The sequence below is a fragment of the Homo sapiens genome, chromosome 6 (assembly GCF_000001405.40).
Source record: "Homo sapiens chromosome 6, GRCh38.p14 Primary Assembly".
Classification (NCBI taxonomy): domain Eukaryota; kingdom Metazoa; phylum Chordata; class Mammalia; order Primates; family Hominidae; genus Homo; species Homo sapiens.
In genome coordinates, this window is record NC_000006.12 from 35,254,487 (window position 1) to 35,276,483 (window position 21,997).

Consider the following 21,997-nt stretch of genomic DNA (forward strand, 5'->3'; position numbering starts at 1 on the left):
GTTTGAGACCAGCCTGGCCAACATAGTGAAACCCCATTTCTACTAAAAATACAAAAATTAACCGGGTGTGGCAGTGCACACCTGTAATTATAGCTACCTGGGAGGCTGAGGCAGGAGAATCTCTTGAACCCAGGAAGGGGAGGTTGCAGGGAGCTGAATTGGGCCACTGCACTCCAGCCTGGGTAACAGAGCAAGACTCCATCTCAGAAAAAAAAAAAAACAAACAGCCGGGCGTGGTGGCAGGCACCTGTAATCCCAGCTACTTGGCAGGCTGAGGCATGAGAATCGCTTGAACCCAGGAGGCGGAGGTGGCAGTGAGCCGAGGTCGTGCCACTGCACTCCAGCCTGGGCAACAGGAGCAAAACTTCATCTCAAAAAACAAAAACAAAAACAAAAAAAACGGCCAGGCACAGTGGCTCATGCTTGTAATCCCCGCACTTTGGGAGGCCAAGACAGGCAGATCACAAGGTCAGGAGTTTGAGACCAGCATGACCAACAAGGTGAAACCCCATCTCTACTAAAAATACAAAAATTAGCCGGGCGTGGTGGCACGCGCCTATAATCCCAGCTACTCAGGAGGCTGAGGCAGGAGAATCGCTTGAACCCGGGAGGCAGAGGTTACAGTGAGCTGAGATCATGCCATTGCACTCCAGCCTGGGTGACAGAGCGAGGCTCCGTCTCAAAAAAAAAAAAAAAAAAAAATTCTAAAAACCAATCCATTTGGGAGCCAGCTGACATATTCATGCACATTCTCCACTCTACCACTGCCCCCACTTTCACCATAGTCCTTGTCCTACTTTACAAAAGAAAGGAATGTCTCTCCCCTACACTGAATCTTGATGCATGGTCCAGGGTGTAAAAACCTGAGGAGCTTGGAGGGAGCAATTATTTTCCACTTCATATCAAAATATTCCCATTGCAATCAGTCTTCCTATTTTATCTTATATAAAATGTTTATTATTTTCTACCTCCTAGTAAAAAGTGAAATTGCTAGCTGCTCAATTCATTATTTCTTAGCAAATACAGCTTTCCTTTCTAAAAAATACAGAAGAAAAAAATTTGTGTAACAAGATTATTAGTTATTTCTGATTTTTAGACATGATTCTCATTTAATTGTTCCCAAAAGCTGAACAACAAGAGTTTGATGAAAGCAGGCACACACATTTACCAAGGGAATATATGCCTTCTATATGACTTCTCAAAACTGATGGATTTAACTATACATTATACAGCATTATTCCTAATTATATAATGAAAAACAGTACTATCTTATTTTTACCATTTATTATGTTAATAGTAGGTCTAAATAATTTTAATCTTGACTGGTTTATCAGTGGTCCATTTTATAAGCTATAGTTAATCATTTATTTCCTAATAATTTTTATAATATTCCTCAAAATGAATGTTAACATATTTATTTGAATGGAAGAATAAAGTCAGACATGTTTCTAACAGAAAGTAGGTCTGATTTGGCTGATTGGTTTGAAATGAAAACTGGCTTTGCCAATTCCACAAATGGCAGTTGTTTTCTATACAGTGAATGAGCTGAATCTGCATTTCAGTTTAACAAAAAGTTCTTGAAGACATGTAATAATTAAAGAATTTTACCAAAAAATATTGTGTAGGCAAAGAAGTATGGAAATCAATATCTGATTAACAAAGTGTCTCTGAGTGTAAAGGTCACAGATAATTAATAATCATGTTTAATAAAACCAAAACTGAGACTCTAATAACTAAATCCTTTTGGAAGTTCAGTGGTTTCTAATCCTTTGCTTTTAACAAAATTAAAAGAAGACTCTATTTGATAGTATTAATAGATCACTCTGTGATTGTTGGCATATAATTTAGAAGTTCAAAGACTCAAAGAATATCATTGTAACAAATCTCTTCCTTTCCCAATTGTGGAAACAAGGTTTCTCAATACTCATGTCTATAAAAATAAAAAACAGGTAAAGGATTGATGTTGCACCTTATCTCCTTCTACCATTAGGTAATATTAATCCATGAATACCTGAACTAATTGGGGAGAAACACCATATTTCTCATTAACAGATGCATTTTCAATAAAAATTGTACTTTTTAGGTTTCACAAGTCATAAAAATGTTAAAAATATTTAGGAAAATTTAGTATTTAGTAATATTTAGTAAAAAAAAAAAGTTTAGTAAGTTATATACTAATGATTACAGGAAGTGAATGGAATTCAAAGTATAAGGAGAAAGAGAACCATATAAAATTTCTGTTGAAGAGCTTGTTCATATATTTTTAAGTGGATGATGGTAGGCATTAGATTTTTAGGGTACTTGGAATCCACCGGATACTTTTTTTTAATGTGAGACAGTCTCACTCTGTAGCCCAGGCTAGAGTGCAGTGGCACGATCTCAGCTCACTGCAACCTCCGCCTCCCGAGTTCAAGTGATTCTCCTGCCTCAGCCTCCCGAGTAGCTAGGACTACAGGTACGCACCACCATGCCCGGCTAATTTTTGTATTTTTAGTAGAGACAGGGTTTCACCATCTTGGCCAGGCTGGTCTCGAACTCCTGGCCTCGGGATCCGCCTGTCTCAGCCTCCCAAAGTGCTGGGATTACAAGCATGAGCCACTGTGCCTGCCCTGCCAGATACATTAAGAATGATGTAGACCAAGTGTGGTGGCTCATGCCTGTAATCTCAGCACTTTGGGAGGCCAAGGCGGGCGGATCACGAGGTCAGGAGATCGAGACCATCCTGGCTAACACCATGAAACCCCGTTTCTACTAAAAATTAGCCAGGCATGGTGGCGCATACCTGTAGTCCCAGCTACTCGGGAGGCTGAGGCAGGAGAATTGCTTGAACCTGGAAGGGGAAGTTGCAGTGAGCTGAGATTTCGCCACTGCAGCACTCCAGCCTGGTTGACAGAGCGAGACTCCGTCTCAGAAAAAAAGAATGATGTAAGTCTTAGTTTAAGATGTCAAAATTTGAAATTGTATCCTCTATAAGTATTTAAATTAATGAAGGAAAATTTAGGTATCAACTTAAAAATGAACAAGAGGTACATAGCTCTTCAAAATTCTTTTATGGGTTCATTCTAAAAAATGTCTGAAGATCACCAGCCTATATGTTGAGTGGAAGGGATAGGAGAGAAACTGCTAGCAATGGTCTTCAATACTGCCCTCCAAAATATCCTCACCAATTCTCCTGAGAACCTGAAATTACCTTCCATTAGGATCATTACTTCAGATTCAGACACTGTTTCCCAGAGCTCTTGTTAAATGTATAATTGCAGAGGTGACTGGCCATCAGATTACGATCCGTAAGGAATGTGAGAAAAGACAGATATATATATACAGAGAGAGCTATGGAAAAAGGGTGGTTGGAGAGGGACAAACTCAGGTACAGCCTGAGTTCTATTCCCTGCGGTATTTCTAACCCTCAATTCATATTATAAGAGGAGCTACTTAATCTTCTCTCTGTATCTATAAGGTACTTTTTCTTTTTCTTTTTTTTTTTCTTTTTTTGAGACGGAGTCACACTGTTGCCCGCGCTGGACTGCAATGGTGCGATCTTGGCTCACTGCAACCTCCGCCTCCCGGGTTCAAGCAATTCTCCTGCCTCAACCTCCGGAGTAGCTGGGATTACAGGCGCCCGCCACCACGCCCAGCTAATTTTTTTGTATTTTTAGTAGAGAGGGGGGGTTTCACTATGTTGACCAGGCTGGTCTCGAACTCCTGACCTCGTGATCCGCCCGCCTCAGCCTCCCAAAGTGCTGGGATTACAGGCGTTTAAGCCACGGCGCCCGGCCTATAAGTTATTTTCTATGGGAAATAACTTGTCAAACTTCCACCAAAAAGGAATGGAAAGAGGGCAGCATAGTGGCCAGGCAGTTTATTTCCATACTAGGAGATACAGAAGGGATTAATTCTAACCGTAGGAATTCTAACCATCAAATGTCACTCACTGGCCTACCTAAACTGAACTCTGGTCCCAGCCAGAACAAGTCAGGAAGAGGGGATGTCTAAGACCGAAAGGGGGGCTTTCTAGTTAAGCTCTTCAGGCAGGAGAGGAAAAGGATGCCCGCATCCCCAAAGACACCTTTAGCTACCACAAGCCCCAAACCCCGTACTTTGTAACTGTGTCTAGTTTACGTCCTTTAAAAATTATTCTTATTAAGTTAAATTGTTTTCGGGGCGGGGAAGATACAAAAGAAACCAGTTAAAGTCTGAAAGGATAGAGAGGGGAAAGTTTCTCACCTCATTCTTCCAGCCACCCAGTTCCTCTCCTAAAAGGCAATCTTTACCAGTTCCTTCTCTAACGCCCCTCCTTTTTAATTTGATTTTTTACCGAAAGCTCGCTCCCTTTTAATTTTCCCTCAGGTTTCTGAAAATTTCCCAATCGCAGCCCCTCCCAGCAGGGAAATAGTAAAGGGGCTTGGTTTTTATGTTCAACCCAAAGCAAGCCTACAAAAGGGAGTAGTCGGTTTCGAGCCTGACGGTGGAGCTGACGCGGGAATGAGAGAGAACCTGAGAAGACCGCCAGGGCGCCCTCCCTGCGGAGGCGAGTCCCTCACCGCCCCTCTACATCGTCCTTTTCAATAAGGAGCTCTTAATACCTGCAACTGCTTCCTTCAAGGGGTGGCTGGAAGATCAGTAGGCAAGGCCTGCGGACTGCGCACCTTAAAGCGCTTCGGGACCGTAAGACAGTGAGTGCTGAGCGCGCGGCCGGGAAGAAGCCTGGAGGCTCTGAGCTCGGAGGACAGAGACCGAAGCCCCAGGGCCTGCGTCCCTCACAACCTGCGCCTCCTGTCCTCCCGCGCTACTCCCGAAGCGCACCTTCTCGCCCGCAGGCCGCAGAAGTGATGACGCAAAGCCCTCGGGGCCTCCGCCACCTCCTCACGCTTCTGCTGGACCGAATCCTTGGAATGGACAGGTAGCGGTTCCCGATTGCTATAGCGACGACCCGGCTCCGAGCCGCGCCCAGGCCCTGACCCGGGCGTCGTGACGTCAGCACGCCTTCCCTGGGCGCTCAGCCTCGCTGGCCATGCGTCACCCCGGCCTTGGTGGGGGCGGGGCTCCGAAGAGCTCGGTTCAGATCCCGGCCGCCTGGGCTCCAGGAGCCCCGGAACCAGGATAAGTTGGATGGCTGCCGCGGCGAAGCGGGGGGCGGGGTGGACCGTGCCCGGTATTTTCTATACGGGTTCCGGGGCCCGGTAGAGGCGCGCCAAGAGGAAAGGAAAGTGCGGCGGCCCTGGAACCTGGATATCGCGCGAGGCAAGCTGCGCGCGGGCGGGCGGGCTATGGCGCAGGCGGGTTGTGGGGCCGGCGCTGGTGGCGGGGCCCGGTGCATGGCGGTCTGTCGGCGGAGTCGCCCTCGGGGGCTGTCAGGTTGGTGGCTGCGGGAGGAGTGGGCCAACCATGCCCAGGGCGGGAGGCCGGGCGGGCGCAGGACCCCGGGAAGGTCCCGAGCCCGGCGTGCCCACCTCCCTCCGGCCCTAGCAGGGCGGCCTGGCCGCTGGACCGCGGCCGGGCCCCCTCCCCCACCCAGGGTCCCTGCCCCTCTTTTCCGCCTTGCGGCTCCTCCCCCGTGACTCCCAAACCTCACCCCGTGACGGCGCCCGCCTCCACCCTTGTGACCCCACACCCCACCCACTGACCCCAAGACCTCACCAGGTAACCGTTGGTTATTATTCATTGGCTGCTAACCCAGGAATTTCCCCAGCACTTCTCAGAGACCCACCAACCAGTGACTCCCTCAGTTTTAATCCGGTGACTCACATGACCCTGAGATCCCCACACTCCTCCTTAGTGACCCCCAAACCTGGGTAACCCTCCTGGCCCAGTAACCCCCCCGATTCTACCTTGTGTTCCCCACAAACTCGGTGACTCCCCTCAAAACTCTGCTGGCGACTCCTAAGCCCTACTCCAATAGTTTTCCACGCACTCACCTTGTACACAACCCTCAGTATCTTTATCCTGTAGCCGTATGACCCTCGTTCCACGTCTGCCTTTATCCTAAAATCACCCCCACTGGCATCTCTCTCTGCGATCCCAGCCCTTCAGTGTCAATCAGCACATGACTTACAAGCGTCCAGCACCTTTCTGGTGCTAAGGAGGATATAGAGATTAATATGAAGTAGTAATAATTGGAGGCATCAGAGAATTCTGGATCAATCCAGAATCCAGTCAATCCAGTGTGTGGTCCCAGCTCTGTCACTGCTGTGCTTTAGGGACCTGTGAGAAGTCCCCTCCTCAGTCTGGACCTCAGTTTCTCATCATGACTGTGATGAGGTTGGGTTAGATGATCTTTGAGTTTCCTTCCGTCTGTGAAATTGTGAAATTATGCAGTTCTCAGTCAAGATAATAATTTTTTGCAATCATTTTTGTACCCCACCCTGGAAATTTCCTCTTGTAACCTCATCCCAGGATCTGCTTGCATCATGAACCTTACTCCCTCATTCCCGGATCACCCTCTTCACTCTTCATAGTGCATACCCATTTCCCTTGATCAGGCCCCATCAGTTAACATGTTTGCAAAGCAGTATAGCAGAGTGCTTCATTTGGGGGCATTGAGTTCATAACAAACCTAGGTTCCAGACTGATTCTGGCCCTTCAGCTATGGGACTTTTGGTATATTATTTAGCCTGTCTTAACTTCAGTCTCCACCTCTGCGAAGGGAGAAAATAGTAGTGCCTGACATAACATATGTAAAGCACCGGGCACCATGCCTGGCTCATGGGAACCCTTAGCATAAGCTGTTGTTAGAAATGAGAAGCTGCTATGGATCTTACTCTGTCCTGAGTGCTAGGGATTTAACAGACTGAACATGTGGCCCATACCTTGCATTATGTTGCTACTACTGACATCTTGGAATCCCTATCTTCTCATCTCTGCTGTAGCCTCACTTCTCTGGTTCTTACCCTGATTTTGCCTCAATAACGATTGGCTTGCTGAATACCTACTGTGTGCCAAGCTCTGGATATATAAGTTAAATTTACGTCTCAACAGCCCCAAGAGTTAATTATTATTATATCCACCATTTTCCCTTCCCATATTTTTGTTTGGTTGGTTGGTTGGTTTCAGAGAAATGAACCAGAAACTCTCACAGCTAAGTAGCAGAGCTAAGATTTGAACCCACAGTTTAAAAAAACAAAACAAAACCCTACTCCATTGCCTGTCTTTCCCCCAGACTTACTCAACCTCAGCTCCTTATTCCTTATTTTCTAGTAATTCCTAAATACAACATCAGCTCGTTCCTTGATCCCTAAGGTTTCTGTTCTTGAGCTCCTAGCCTCAAGAGATCCTCCCACCTTAGCCTCTCAAGTAGTTGAGATTATAGGCGTGAGCCACCAAGACTGGCCCTGACCCCCAAGGTTTCTATTACCGTTTGCCATGTAACTTGGTGACTTTCTCATCCTGCTGTTCATGACTTTTGATCTCATATCCCCTGAAGCCCCTGCACCTTGTAGGGGAGGGAAAATATCTTCTTAGGTTCATGGCTTAGGCCCCTATAACAACAGATTTAATAAGAGAAGATTATATACATTTATTTAATGTAAGTTTTATGTGACAGGAGCCTTCATAAGGAAATGAAGACCTAAAGAAATGATTAAACTTGTATATTTTTATACTAGATCTGATGAAGAGTGGATAGTTGTGGAAAAATACAAAAAGGGTAATATCAAATAGTAATAAACTGGGAGAAACTTAGCAAGGCCTGTTTGTTCAGACTCTTCTCTGTGTCCCTGTGTCTTCACAGATAAGGGTGCTTCTTTCCTCTGAGTATAGGGAGGGCACCTCTTTATGAGGAGGGTATTATGACCTGCTTCAGGGGAAAGTCAGAAAAATCCTTCCTAGGTTTTGTGATCTGCTTCAGGGGAGAAGAGCCTCAGAGAAAGTGAGAGTGACCTTCCTACTGCCATTTTCTCAAGTTGCCATATTTTGGAGTAGTGTCTTGAACCCAGTCAACTTCTCTCTTCATCCTTTGCCCAAATATCTCTTGTTCTATGAATCTTTGACGCTTCCAGCCCTTTCCCTGTGAACTCACTCACCATACAGTGTCTCCCACCTCACTGGCACTTTACCCCAAATCCTTTCATCTTGTTAAGTCCCTTAGCCCCAGGAATCCACAAGTCTGTATGCTCTAAAACCATCTAGCCCAGTTGCCTTTCATCCTATTTTTTAGTCTCAGTGTTCTACTCCCACCACCCCACCTTCTGCCATCCTCAGCCACATTCTGTGACCTGAAACCTTCATATAATTTGTCCTTCATTTAGTGACCTCTTGATGTGACTAGCTTCAATGGAATCGGCTCCTTCCATCCCAGCATGAAGCAATCCTGTATAACTTGCACACCCTCCCATTCTAAGGCCTCTCCTCTCATACCCTTGCCCAGTATCCTGTGAGATCCTGCCTCTCAGATTCCTCCCTCACCTTTTCAAACCCGGATTGTCTTTCACCCTTCCACAGGGCCTCCTCTTCCTGCCTTCCTCTTATTTGTCCCCTCAGCCATCCTCACCTCACCAATCTTGATAATTGATTACAATATAAATCTCCCTTCCATCTCAGGTCTGCTCCTTTCTTCCTCCACTCTCTTGTGCATCTATCTCCAGGGCCATGCGTATGCCCCTGCTGCTTTCAGCTCTGCTTCCTTCATATGCTGCACTGTTCCACCAAACTTCATCAGTCTCTTCGGTTTATCCAGAGAACTACACTCTTCTCTGGGAACTTCTGATGACTTCTGATAATAGATCACCAAAGGATCTTGGTTTTTTAGAGGGCAGGGAGAGAGCCCTTTGAAGTCCTTCAGAATCAATCTAGCTGTGTCTCCTGGACACCCTCCCACTATCCTATCCTGTTATGAAGCTGCTTGCTGTATATGCCCTCAGAGTAGAATGCTTTGGGTGTCAGCTTCTGCAGGCACTGAATTAGCCCCATTGTTTTCCAAGCCCTGGGAAAACTTGATAATCCCCAACCACTGAAGTCTGAAGAGTCAGTAGCAAAATGTGACATCAAAGATCCACATCCAAAAGTCTATTCTGTGGGTCACCAAATTCCCAGGTCTCTTATAATGTACTTATTGGCTGTGCAGCAATAAATACAGCAGAAACTAAAACTAGAGTTGAGGAAAGGGTATACCCTGGGTTCTACAACTGCTGTGGGTGGATTTTAAAAAGGAGTTCTTGCCTTAGATTTGTTTACTTAGGGCACAGAACTTATTCTGCCTTGTATTTGAGTTATTTGTGTACTTTTCTCAACCCCACTCTGTGAGCTCTGTGAGAACAGAGACTAGGTTTTCTTTTTTCTTTTCTTTTCGAGATGGAGTCTTACTCTGTCACCCAGGCTGGAGTGCAGTGGTGCAGTCTTGGCTCACTGCAACCTCCTCCTCCTGAGTTCAAGTGATTCTCACACCTCAGCCTCCCAAGTAGCTGGTGTTACAGGCGCCTGCAACCATGCCCAGCTAATTTTTGTATTTTTAGTAGAGACAGGGTTTCACCATGTTGGCCAGACTGATCTCTAACTCCTGACCTCAGGTGATCCACTCGCCTCAGCCTCCCAAAGTGCTAGGATTACAGGCATGAGCCACTGCACCTGGCTGGTTTTCTTTATCTTCTGTCTTCATCTCTTCCCTCACATTTAGCAGGTAGTCAGTACTTACCTGTTGGATTAAATTAACTCACTCAGAAATTCTGCATCAGGTGTACAAAAGTAAAAGCAGTTCATGTCTACATTCATTTTGTGGACACAACACCCCTCCCCAAAGTTCTCCAAACATGATAATGGGCATGTCCCTTGATTTAAACGTCGGTAATTTAGACACTTCCTTTTTTAGTCATTGCTCGGGTGGGGGAATGGGTGTAAGTGCTTTTCTTTTTCTACTGTATTTCTGGTAAGATAGGTTGTTTGACGCAGTTGCTCAAATACAGTGGTAACAGCATCAGGGGCTGTCTTATATAAATCTGTTCTCAAGAAAACAGCTAGTTTGAAATATTTAGTGTGGGTTGCAGAGACGATTAAGGAACAGAGGAAACCAAGGAGGCAAAATGTTGGTAATTTTTGAAGTTGGATAATGGGTTCAAGAGGTTCATTATACCATTCTTTCCATTTTTGTGTATGTTGGAAATCCATTATAAAAAGATTAAAGGCAGGGGCAGCTAGGTGAACAAGTGCAAATTTAGCACTGTTCCTTGGAAAACACCTCAGAGCAAATGAGCTACTGTTTCTGAATCAGTACTGTTATCTAGGTTAAGTAGTATATTTAGTCCTAACCTTTCTCTGACCTCTTCTGTTTGTGAGATATCAGGATGCTAAATTTAAAAATTAGCACCCTGCAGAATTCTGTACCTAGTGGCCTGGGAATTGTAACATCCTGGCATCAAGCACCTGTTGCACTGCTTCTCAGCTTAGGTATGGTTTCTGGTGGAATAGGGCTGGACTGGACCTGAGAAGAGGGTGAGGCAGTAAGGAGGAAAGAGGGACTGAGGGCTGGAGAGAGACCAGAGCTCTACTAGGGTCTTCCCCTTCTTGCCTAAAGGTTTCAAGTTACTGGGAGATCCTAAAGGTATATATATTCATTCATTCACTGATTCATTCATCCCACAAATATTTGGTGAATATCTGCTGTGTGCCAGGTACTTTTCTAGGTACTGGGAATAGAGCAGTGAGCTCACTGTTTGAGGAATGGACAGGGTAGAGACAGACAATAAACAAATAAGTAAAATATATATTGAGAAAATTAAGCAGAGAAGGGAGATAGAAAGTGCCAGGAGTAGGCCAGGTGCAGTGGCACACACCTGTAATCCCAGCACTTTGGGAGGCTGGGTTGGGTAGATAACATGAGGCCAGGAGTTTGAGACCAGCCTGGCCAACATGGCGAAACCCCAGCTCTACTAAAAATACAAAAATTAGCCAGGCGTGGTGGCAGGCACCTGTAATCCCAGCTACTCGGGAGGCTGAGGCACGAGAATCACTTCAACCCAGGAGGCAGAGGTTGCAGTGAGCTGAGATCACGCTGCTGCACTCCAGCCTGGGCGACAGAGCGAGACTCTGTCTCAAAAAAAAAAAAAAAAGAAGAAGAAGAAGAAGAAAATGCCAGGATTCTGGGTGTTAAAATTTTAAATAGGGTAGTTGAAGAGGTTCCCACTAAAAAGGTAACATTTGAGCAAAGACCTGAAGGAAGTTAGGGGGTAAGTCAAGCATACATCTAGGGGAAATTTATTCCAGTCAGGAAGAACAGCAAACACAAAGGCCCTGAGGCAGGAATGTGCCCTATATATTCAAGAAACATGAGGAAGCCAGCCAATACGGCTGCAGTATATTAGTGAGAGAAGAAATGGCAGATGTTGCGGTGGGGGTGAATTGGGGGCAGATCACACAGGCCACTGGCTTGTAGTGTGAGTTGTGAGTGAGATGGTAGCCATTAGAGAATTCTAGGCAGATAAATAACATGGCCTGACATATTGAAAAGGTCATTGTGGCTGCTGTGTTGAGAATAAGCTATAACGGGGCAAAAATGGAAGGAGAGAAACTGGTTAGGAGGCTACTACAATAGTCTAAACAAGAGAAGTTGGTGGCTTGAACCCAAGGTGAAGCAATGGAAAGGTGAGAAGTGGTTGGCTTCTGGATGTATTTGGAAAGGAGCCAACAGGATTTGCTGATGGACTGGATGTGATATATAAAAGAAATAGCAGTTGAGGGTGGCTACAATTTTTTTTTTTTTCAAGACATCTCGCTCTGTCGCCCACGGTGGAGTGCAGTGGCGTGATCTCAGCTCACTGCAACCTCCGCCTCCTGGGTTCAAGTGATTCTTCTGCCTCAGCCTCCTGAGTAGCTGGGACTACAGGTGCATGCCAGCGCACCCGGCTAATTTTTGTATTTTTAGTAGAGATGGGGTTTCACCATATTTGCCAGGCTGGTCTCAAACTCCTGAACTCGTGATCTGCCTGGCTCCCACATTTTTGGCCTAAGTAACAAAATGGTAAAATTCCCATCTACTGAAATTGGGGAGCCTGGAAGGAGGGCAGGTTGTTAGAAGGAGGAGATAAGGAATTCACTCTTGAACATGTCAAGTTCGAAGTGTTTTTTGGATATCAAAGTCGAGATGTTGAGTAAGCAGCTGGATATTCAAGTCTTTTGGAGCCTAGGAAATGTCTACTCTCAGGAAATAAAAGAACACCATCACCTGGCAAGAGACAGCGGAGTATGGGAAGAACACTGGTGGTCAGGTGTTAGGCCCTGCTCTGCCACCAGGTAGCTATGTGATCCTTTGGGACTCCTCTGGCAACGCAGGCCTCTGTCTCTTCATCTGCAAAATGACTGCTTTATTTTATTTTATTGTCTATTTCTTTTTTTTTTTTTTTTTTTTTTGAGACGGAGTCTCGCTCGTCACCCAGGCTGAAGTGCAGTGGCGCCATCTCGGCTCACTGCAAGCTCTGCCTCCCGGGTTCACGCCATTCTCCTGCCTCAGCCTCCTGAGTAGCTGGGACTACAGGTGCCCACCACCGCGCCCGGCTAATTTTTGTATTTTTAGTAGAGACGGGGTTTCACCGTGTTAACCAGGATGGTCTCTATCTCCTGACTTTGTGATCCGCCCGCCTTGGCCTCCCAAAGTGCTGGGATTACAGGCTTGAGCCACTGCATCCGGCCCCTTATCTGTTTCTTTGACAAGGTCTTGTTCTGTCACCCAGGCTGGAGTGCAGTGGCGCAATCATGGAGGCTCACTGCAGCAGTGACCTCTCCAGCTCAATCAGTCCTCCCATGTCAGCCTCCTGAGTAGCTGGGACTACAGAGATGGGCACCACCACGCCTAGCTAATTTTTGTATTTTTGGTAGAGAGGGTTTCACCATGCTGCCCAGGCTGGTCCTGAACTCCTGGGCTCAAGCCTCCACCTGCCTCGGTCTCCCAAGGTGCTGGGATTACAGGCATGAGTCACCACACCCAGCCAAAATGACCACTTTAGACTAGGAATGAGTTGTGTTCTCAGCCCCTCCTATTGTGGGAGTTGATGAATTAAGTGCTTAGAATAAACATGATAATATATGTGTATCTGAGAGCATTTTGGAAACTGCTGAGTTCTACACCAGGTAGTGGTATTGGCAATAAGATTTCTTCCTTCATTCGCTGAAGTAATACCCAGTGAGTGCCTGCCATGTGGTGGGCACTATGTCACATGAGGATACGATGATGGAGAAGACGAATCTGTGCCCTCAGGGAGCACCGCAGACAACCCCCTGTTGTGGCTTCACTGCCAAGTGCAGACGAAACATGGGGCTGGAGTGTGACATTAGCCAGGGAAAGCTTGTTCCTGATCTGGGTCTCCGTGGAAACAGTGAACGTGCATGTCAAAGATGAGGCAAGATGGTAATCCCGATGAGGGAAAAGTCATCCACTTAGCTGGACTAGGGAAGAGTTGGGAGTGGTTGGGAAGGGTTGGAGTGGTGGGGGCTTCAGTTCCTTCCCTCCTCCATTCTTTCGTTCAACATTTACTTCCTTGCCAGGAGCTTCTCTTAGAAGCTCACAGTTCTGTGGTAGATGAAGAGTTTCATATCTGGTCTCAGGAGTTCAACTTAGATATTACAATAAGCAGAACTGAATCAGGATTCAAATCTGAGCTAAAGAGCTCAGTTAGCTATGTAACCTAGTAGTATTAATCATTTGGTATCTGTGGGCACATTCTTTGTTAGGTGCTAATTAGGCTGAAAGGCATGCTCTCCAGGAACTTAAATTATAATCACTGTAACAGAAAGTAAGAATGTTATTTTCCCCTAAAAGAGTCAGGTGTTAAGGAAAACACACTCCGTGGCAGTGTAACCCTTTAACTGCATCTGGAAACTGTCCCTGTGGCTGTGTTTATTCTTGTGTCATTTAGATGTCTACGTTTATATCGTGAGGAGAGTCTCTTTGACCAGATAAGAGTATAAGATATAGCTCATCCTAATTGACAAAATTAGTCACCCACAAAATTAGTTTAGAGGAGACATAGTCAACATCTACCACGTAATGGAATGGGGAAATTTTGTCCTGGAGAGTGAAAAAAGAAAAAACAAACAAACAAAAAAAACGAAACCTGGCCGGGTGTAGTGGCTCACACCTGTAATCCGCACTTTGGGAGGCTGAGATGGGCAGATCACGAAGTCAGGAATTCAAGACCAGCCTGGCCAACATGGTGAAACCCCATCTCTACTAAAAATACAAAAATTAGCTGGGCATGGTGGCGTGCAGGAGAATTGCTTGAACCAGGACCCAGGAGGCGGAGGTTGCAGTGAGCCAAGATCGCACCATTGCTCTCCAGCCTGGGCTATAGAACAAGACTTCATCTCAAAAAGAGAGAAAAAAAAAAAAAAAACCACCTGCAATACAAATCCAAGTGCAGCTGAAGCCATTGTCTTTAACAGATGGCCCTAACCTGTTTTGAGTGCTGTTTCCTAAAGCTGCCAACAAACTTCAAATGCCTTTTACCCTGGCAGCTATCAGTCAAGATATAGAAATGTGATGGTCTCACAAATCCTATGCAATTGTCTCTTTTGCTGGCAAAAGTATGAGGCCAGCCGGGTGTGGTGGCTCATGTCTGTAATCCCAGCACTTTGGGAGGCTGAGGCGGGTGGTTCACCTGAGGTCAGGAGTTCGAGACCAGCTTGGCAAACATGGTAAAACCCCATCTCTACTAAAAATACAAAAATTTGCCGGGCATGGTGGCAGGCGCCTGTAGTCCCAGCCACTGGGGAGGCTGAGGCAGGAAAATAGCTTGAACCTGGGAGGCGGAGGTTGTGGTGAGCTAAGATCATGCCATTGCACTCCAGCCTGGGCGACAGAGCGAGACTCTGTCTCAAAAAAAAAAAAAAAAAAAAAAATGTATGAGGCGTACTCAGGCTCCTCTCTTCCAGTTCAGAATCAGAAGGATTTGTGATGTTGGACAGGTCATTCGGGGTCTCAGGCTCATTATACTGTCATTACCTGGAAGCCAGAGTGCCTCTTTTCTAGTGCCTCTATTTGACATTCCCTTAGAGCTGGCCCTCTGGTGAATAGTTCATCCCTAAGAAGGCCAGATACAACTTGTTACCCTGGTACTATCTCACTTCATCACTTCATTTGTTGGGAGTTCCTGCTACTTTTGGATGGTTGATAAAGCATGAGACCCATACAGTTAAGATAAGAACCAAGGAACTGGGAGCTCTTTGAGGTTGTAGAACTGACTTGAGGCTTTGATGTTGGGGATTTGGCAGGGGTGCCTAAGACCAGAGTTCTTTCTCTGAGATCATCTTCTCAACCCAGGAAATACTGTCCTGTGGCCACATGGAGCAATGAAGGGGAAAGGTAGACCCTGCTTAGGCCACCACTTCGTCCAGACCCACCCTTGTGACCAGGCTGGGGACACACATGTTGAAGCCACCATGTCCTCAGGTCCTGTATAGACTTGCTGTTGCCTCATGCTCAGCTGATCAGCTTTCCATATGATGTTATAGAATGGCCTCCATGAATCACGAAGCTCAGTTTTCGGATGTGCTTTTGCTGTAGATCAGTAACATGGAATCCATCATATCAACACTGGACTCTCCATTCCTCATGTATGGAGAATCATAGATATTCCTGTAACCAACAAAGGGAGTACAAAGCATGCATTTAGACTTTCTATTTTTAATTTTTTATTTATGTTGCGTAGGTAACACATTCTCAAGGCTTTTTTTATTTTTATTTTTTTATTGAGACCAAGTCTTGCTCTGTCGCCCAAGCTGGAATGCAGTGGTGCAATCTTGGCTCACAGCAACCTCTGCCTCCTGGGTTCAAGTGATTCTCCAGCCTCAGCCTCCCAAGTAGCTGGGCCTACAGGCACGTGCCACCATGCCCAGCTAATTTTTGTATTTTTAGTAGAGATGGGGTTTCACTATGTTGGCCAGGCTGGTCTCAAACTCCTGACCTTGTGATCCGCCCGCCTTGGCCTCCCAAAGTACTGATTATAGGCATGAGCCACTGCACCCAGCCATTTGTTTTTCGTGGAGTATAAAAGATATTCCCTGAAAAGTCGCCCTTCCATCGTCATCACCACTCAGTCATCCTTCCACAGGCAACCCTGGTTAGTAATTTTAATAATTTCTTGACTATCCTTCCACAGATTTTGTTTGTTTGTTTGAGATGGAGTCTCGCCCTGTCACCAGGCTGGAGTGCAGTGGCGCAATCTCGGCTCACTGCAGCCACCTCCTGGATTCAAGCGATTCTCTTGCCTCTGCCTCCCGAGTAGCTGGGACTACAGGTGTGTGCCACCATGCCCAGCTAATTTTTTGTATTTTTAGTAGAGATGGGGTTTCACCATGTTGGCCAGGATGGTCTAGATCTCTTGACCTGGTGATCCGACTGCTTCAGCCTCCCAAAGTGCTGGGATTACAGGTGTGAGCCACTGCGCCCAGCCCACAGATTTTTTAATGCCAATGACATTACATAAAAAGCACTGTTGAACCCGGGAGGCAGAGGTTGCAGTGAGCCAAGATCACACCACTGCACTCCTGCCTAGGCGACAGAGCAAGACTTCGTCTCATAAATAAATAAATGGCACTGTTTTATACCTAGCCATTTTTTTCATTATGTTTTGGAGATCTTGCCATGTCAATATGTAAGGAGCTTCCTCATTTATGTCTACGTAGTATGGAAGTTTGATATTGATGGACATTTATGCTGTTTCTAAGTTTTTGCTTTTATTACATGCAGAGATGCCATAGATAACCTTGGACATGTGCCATTTTCACGCATGTCCATCTACCTGTAGACTAGATGTGAAATTGCTGGGTCAGATAATATGTACATTTGTAATTTTGGTTGCTATTGTCAAACTCTCCTCCATAGAGATTTTGCCAATATGTTCTCCCACCACCAGCAATGTATGACTGTGCCTGTTTCTCCACAGCCTCATGGACATTGCTTTGAGTTAAGAATATAGCAGATTCTGCTGCACAGTGGCTCACGCCTGTAATCCCAATACTTTGGGAGGCCAAGGCGGGCAGATCACCTGAGGTCAGGAGTTAGAGATCAGCCTGGCCAGTATGGCCAAACCCCGTCTCTACTAAAAATACAAAAAATTTCCCGGGGGTGATGGCTCGTGTCTGTAGTCTCAGCTACTTGGGAGGCTGAGGCAGGAGAATCACTTGAACCCTGGAGGTGGAGGTTGCAGTGAGCTGAGATTGCACCACTGCACTCCAGCCTGGGCGACAGAGCGAGACTCCGTCTCAAAAAAAAAAAAAAAGAAAAAAAAATATATATAGCAGATTCCCTGAAGATCAACATAGGATACTGAATCATGGGGTCCCACTGTGACACTATTCCACAAGACAAACAAAACACGGCACATCCCAGTTTGAAGAATACAGCCAGGCACAGTGGCTGATGCCTATAATTCTAGCACTTTGTTGAGGCTAAGGTGGGAGGATCACTTGATCCTGGGAGATCAAGACCAGCCTGGGCAACATAATAAGACCTCATCTCTACAAAAATTTAAAAATTTAAAAAAAGAAAAATTAGCTGGGCATGGTGGCACGCACCTGTAGTTCCACCTACTCGGGAGGCTGAGGTGGGAGGATCGTTTGAGCCCAGGAGATCAAGGCTGCAGTGGGCTATGATCATGCCACTGCACTCCAGCCTGGACAGCAGAGCGAGACCCTTTCTCAAAGCAACAACAACAACAAAAACAGTTTGAAGACTACTGCATTAAAAATATATCCACCAGGCAAGGTGGCTCATACTTGTTAATCTCAGCACTTTGGGAGGCTGAGGTGAGATGATCACTTGAGGCCAGGAGTTCAAGACCAGCCTGGGCAACATAGCAAGACCCCATCTCTACAAAAATAAGTAAATAGAGATAGATGTAAGTAAATAAATAAATTAGCCAGGCTTGGTAGTGCACACCTGTAGTCCCAGATATTTGAGAGTCTCAGGCAAGAAGATTACTTTAGTCTAGGAGTTCAAGGTTGCAGTGAGCTATGATCATGCCGTTGCACTTGTAGTGTGGGTGACAGAGCAAGACCCTGTTTCTGTGTGTGTGTGTGTGTGTGTGTGTGTGTGTGTGTGTGTGTGTATGTATATGCACATATATATATCCAAGAGGTAGTTGGACTTCTGGTAGTTAAAGGAAGAAAACTTCTTAAGGCAGTTCTCCACCTTGGTGTTTATGCCAGCATGAATTAGAAAAGAAGTAGATTGATGTTTTTCATTTTCTTTTGAGACAGGGTCTTGCTTTGTCACACAGGTTGAAGTGCAGTGGCACAATCATGGCTCTCCAAAGCCTCAACTTCCTGGGCTTGAATGTTCCTCCCACTTCAGCCCCCGAGTAGCTGGGACCACAGCCATGTGCCACCATGCCTGGCAATTATTTTTGTAGAGACGGTGTCTGCACCTGACCTCAGCCTCACATTGATTTTTTTAAGACGGTGTCTCGGCTGGGCATGGTGGCTCATGCCTGTAATCCCAGCACTTTGGGAGGCTAAGGTAGGTGGATCACTTGAGGTCAGGCGTTCGAGACCAGCCAGGCCAACATGGCGAAACCCTGTCTGTACTAAAAATACAAAAACATTAGCCGGGCCTGGTGGCGCGCACCTGTAATCCCAGCTACTCTGGAGGCTGGGGCAGGAGAATCGCTTGAACCCAGGAAGTGGAGGTTGCAATGAGCTGAGCTCGCACCACTGCACTCTAGCCTGGGCAACAGAGTGAGACTCTGTCTCAGAAAAAAAACAAAAAACAAAAAACAAAAAAAAAACGAGTCTCACTCTGTTGCCCAGTGAACTCTGGAGTGCAGTGGTGTGATCTCAGCTCACTGCCACCTCCACCTCCCAGGTTCAAGCGATTATCTTGCCTCAGCCTCCTGAGTAGCTGGGATTGCAGGCGTGCACCACCACACCTGGCTAATTTTCGTATTTTTAGTAGAGATGGGGTTTCGCCATGTTGGCCAGGGTGATCTCGAACTCCTGACCTCTAATGATCTGCCTGCCTCAGCCTCCCAGTGTGCTGGGGTTATAGGCGTGAGCCACTGCACCTGGCCAGACATTGATTTTTAAAGCCCAAGTCAGGGCCAGGCACAATGGCTCACACCTATAATCCCAGTACATTGGGAGGCCAACGCAGGCAGATCATGAGGTCAGGAGTTCAAGACCAGCCTGACTAACATGGTGAAACCCCATCTCTACTAAAAATACAAAAATCAGATGGGCATGGTGGTGCATGCCTGTAATCCCAGCTACTCAGGAGGCTGAGGCAGGAGAATTGCTTGAACCCGGGAGACTCCATCTCACAAAAAAAAAAAAAAAAGAAATGGGGGTCTCACTATGTTGCCCAGGCTGGTCTCAAACTCCTGGGCTCAAGGGATCCTCCCACCTCAGCCTCCCAAAGTGCTGGGATTTCTTTTAAATGGCGCTTCTTCTTTTAAAAAGAAGAAAAAAAAAATTGAAGAAAAAAAGCAATATGCTTTATGCAAAGATGTGTTTTAGCTGTTTAAAACTTATGTTAGTGCAAGTTTGTGTTACTAATTTCCTGTTTTCTCTTCAGTGTTTAGAAACCCACAGAACCAGGCCTGTTCACTAGGTTTTTCTGCGTGTAGTGAAGTATTTTTCTATAATAAACATTGAATCATTTTACTGCAACTTTTCCAAATCTGGTTCTGATTTGTTTGCCACTCATCTTCATCAGCCTTCATCCCTCCCAAACTAATGTGTCTTTTTTCTCATGAGAAGTTTTCTATGTTTACAAATGAAGAAGTTTCTAAGTGAAGATTAAGTCATAATTATTTTTGCTAATCAAAATTGAACATTCTTTTCAGGCAAATGTTTTTGTTGTTGTTTTCTTTTTTTGGCTTCTAAATACAGTTGCCCTCTGGGCTGGCTGAGGCAGAGTACAGAAAGCCTTGTTCCAACTGTCCAGAGTTCTGGTTGGCAGAAGACAATAGAATAGCGAACAGGTGCCTGTAGTCAGCACAGCCCAGCTTGTGTGTGGAGCGCAGTAGGTCTCAACCATGATAAAGTGGAAAAACACAAAAACCATGGCTACTCTTTAGTTTCCTATCTTTCACATCCCTTATTTTTCTCCTTTGAGGAGGCAGTTTAAGCACATCTTGATTCATGGAGAGACCTAAAGATCCAAAGTATCTAAAAAGTTGGGAGTAGTGGCACACACCTATAGTCCCAGCCACTCAGGAGGCTAAGGCAAGAGGATCGCTTGAGCCCAGGAGGTTGAGTTTACAGGAGCTATGATCACTGCATGCCAACCTGGGCAACAAAATGAGATCCTGTCTCTAAATAAATAAAAGGTTTTTCTAAATGTTCTCTCTCCTCAATAATTACAATTTATGTTTTAACATTAAGAAACACATCGATATATTGCAAAGGTGAAGGGTTGTTTTCCTGCATCAGGACCAGTAATGGGTTAAGTTTATTTAAAAGTGCAGCAGGCCGGGTGCAGTGGCTCACGCCTGTAATCCCAGCATTTTGGGAGGCCAAGGTGGGCGGATCAAGAGGTCAGGAGTTCGAGATCAGCCTAACCAACATGGTGAAACCCCGTCTCTACTAAAAATACAAAAAAATTAGCCGGGCGTGGTGGTGCATGCCTGTAATCCCAGCTGCTCACGAGGCTGAGGCAGGAGAATTACTTGAACCCAGGAGGCGGAGGTTGCAGTGAGCCGAGATTGTGTCATTGCACTCCAGCGTGGGCGTGAGAGCAAGACTCCATCTCAAAAAAAAAAAGAAAAAAAATTGCAGCAAACAGAACTGGATTTGCTCCTAGTTCTGGGAGAGTCAAGAGTGCTCCCTTCTGTCTTCACTCTTTTCTCACCTTCCGCTCTCCCAGTCTGTCTCTCCCCTATACACAGCTCAGGTCATTGCAGAGCTAGTAAACCTTATATCCTACAAGGAGAAAACAGAGCAGCCACCCTCACTGCCCCTCTGCCCTGTCTCGGAGGGCTGCAGGAGTAATGAGTCTGAACCGGCAAGTGCAGGCAGAACTCACACATAGCCATCCTGAAGCAGTAACAAGCCTTTCTTTGGCTCTGCCCATGTCACTGTTGTTAGTTCAGTGCCAGCATGGGAGGATTCAGAGTAAACCATCATTGAAAGAAAGTACAGGGAGAAAAATGGCAATCAGGGCACTGGTAGATGCCTAGCAGCCACAAAGCTTCCTCCTCACCCTCTGCAGTCAGGCTCTTTTGGAAGGCAGCTTCAGAGATTGGGAAAGGTCAGGGAACAACAGTAGCCTCTTTTAAAGGTTTGTATTACGAGACTTAGGAAGGAAACGTGAATGAGTTGAGGTTATTTAGCCTGTACGCGAGAACATGAAAAGGAGTGGAAATTTGTTTTCTTTGAGTCTAAGAAGGGTTATTTTGGGAAGTGTGGCTACCAGCTATTCCCTTTTTCCATTGCGGGTAGGCCAAGAAGGTCTGGGTTTAAGTTACAGTGGGTGAGATGGAAGTTAACCCGTATTCAAGTGTTTTGAGTGCTGACGGTGTGCCAGTCACAGTGAATTAGCAGAAGGAAGAAGTGCGCCAGATATTGAGAAGTATGGGCTCTGGGGCCAGCCAGCCTGGCTTTGAATTCTGGCTTCAACACATAGTAGTGTTGGAACCTTGGACAAGGTACTATACCTCTAAGCCTCAGTTGCCTCATCTGTAAAATGGGTATAATATACCTACTTCCTCATCAGTTATTTTTAAGATTAAGAGTTAATATAGGTAAGGTGCTTTAAAAAGTGGCTGGTATATATTAATCACATTTATATGTGATAAAAATAAATATTAGCATGAGCAGTAGAAAGGATCTTAGGGTAATTTGGGCCAGCATTTCATTTTACAGATAAAGAGGCAGACATAGAGATAGAATCGAGATTAGAAGCCAATTCTGTAGACTTCTAGTCCAGGGTGGTTGCCACTAGTCCTAGCTGTTTTAGGACTTCGTATTGCTTCAAAAGCATTTCCCTTTAGGTTCCTCTTCCTTCCCCTCCTCCTGATAGCTGGTATTTCTAGAGTACAGGCATATGTGCCCTCATTTAATCCCTTACAGCAGGCTATGA

The 21,997-nt window shown here is 45.8% G+C and overlaps 1 protein-coding gene and 1 long non-coding RNA gene across 15 annotated transcripts in view, besides 2 other annotated features; one reads left to right on the top strand and one right to left on the bottom strand.

The window, feature by feature from the left end:
• Positions 1-4,969, bottom strand: part of SCUBE3-AS1 (SCUBE3 antisense RNA 1) — a 39,086-nt gene extending 34,117 nt beyond the window's left edge. For 2 of the 3 annotated variants that reach the window (XR_001744102.2, XR_007059558.1), the window contains exon 1: positions 4,804-4,969. This is a non-coding gene — a long non-coding RNA (SCUBE3 antisense RNA 1). Of the gene's footprint in view, positions 1-4,583 lie in introns of all 3 variants that reach the window. The other variant, XR_001744099.2, reaches the window with a different exon arrangement.
• A 77-nt stretch (positions 4,970-5,046) lies between these two features.
• Positions 5,047-21,997, top strand: part of ZNF76 (zinc finger protein 76) — a 36,453-nt gene continuing 19,502 nt past the window's right edge. For 7 of the 12 annotated variants that reach the window (NM_003427.5, NM_001292032.2, XM_047419302.1 and 4 more), the window contains exon 1: positions 5,249-5,355. The gene's annotated coding sequence lies outside the window, so the exon portion shown is untranslated. The other 5 variants (XM_017011249.3, XM_017011256.2, XM_047419300.1 and 2 more) reach the window with 1 other exon arrangement.
• Positions 5,232-5,351: a silencer, noted in NCBI's record as "silent region_17086". NCBI's record gives its function as "represses an Ori minimal core promoter by ATAC-STARR-seq in GM12878 lymphoblastoid cells {active_cell/tissue: GM12878}" and the evidence as "EXISTENCE:reporter gene assay evidence [ECO:0000049][PMID:35858748]".
• Positions 5,362-5,681: a silencer, noted in NCBI's record as "silent region_17087". NCBI's record gives its function as "represses an Ori minimal core promoter by ATAC-STARR-seq in GM12878 lymphoblastoid cells {active_cell/tissue: GM12878}" and the evidence as "EXISTENCE:reporter gene assay evidence [ECO:0000049][PMID:35858748]".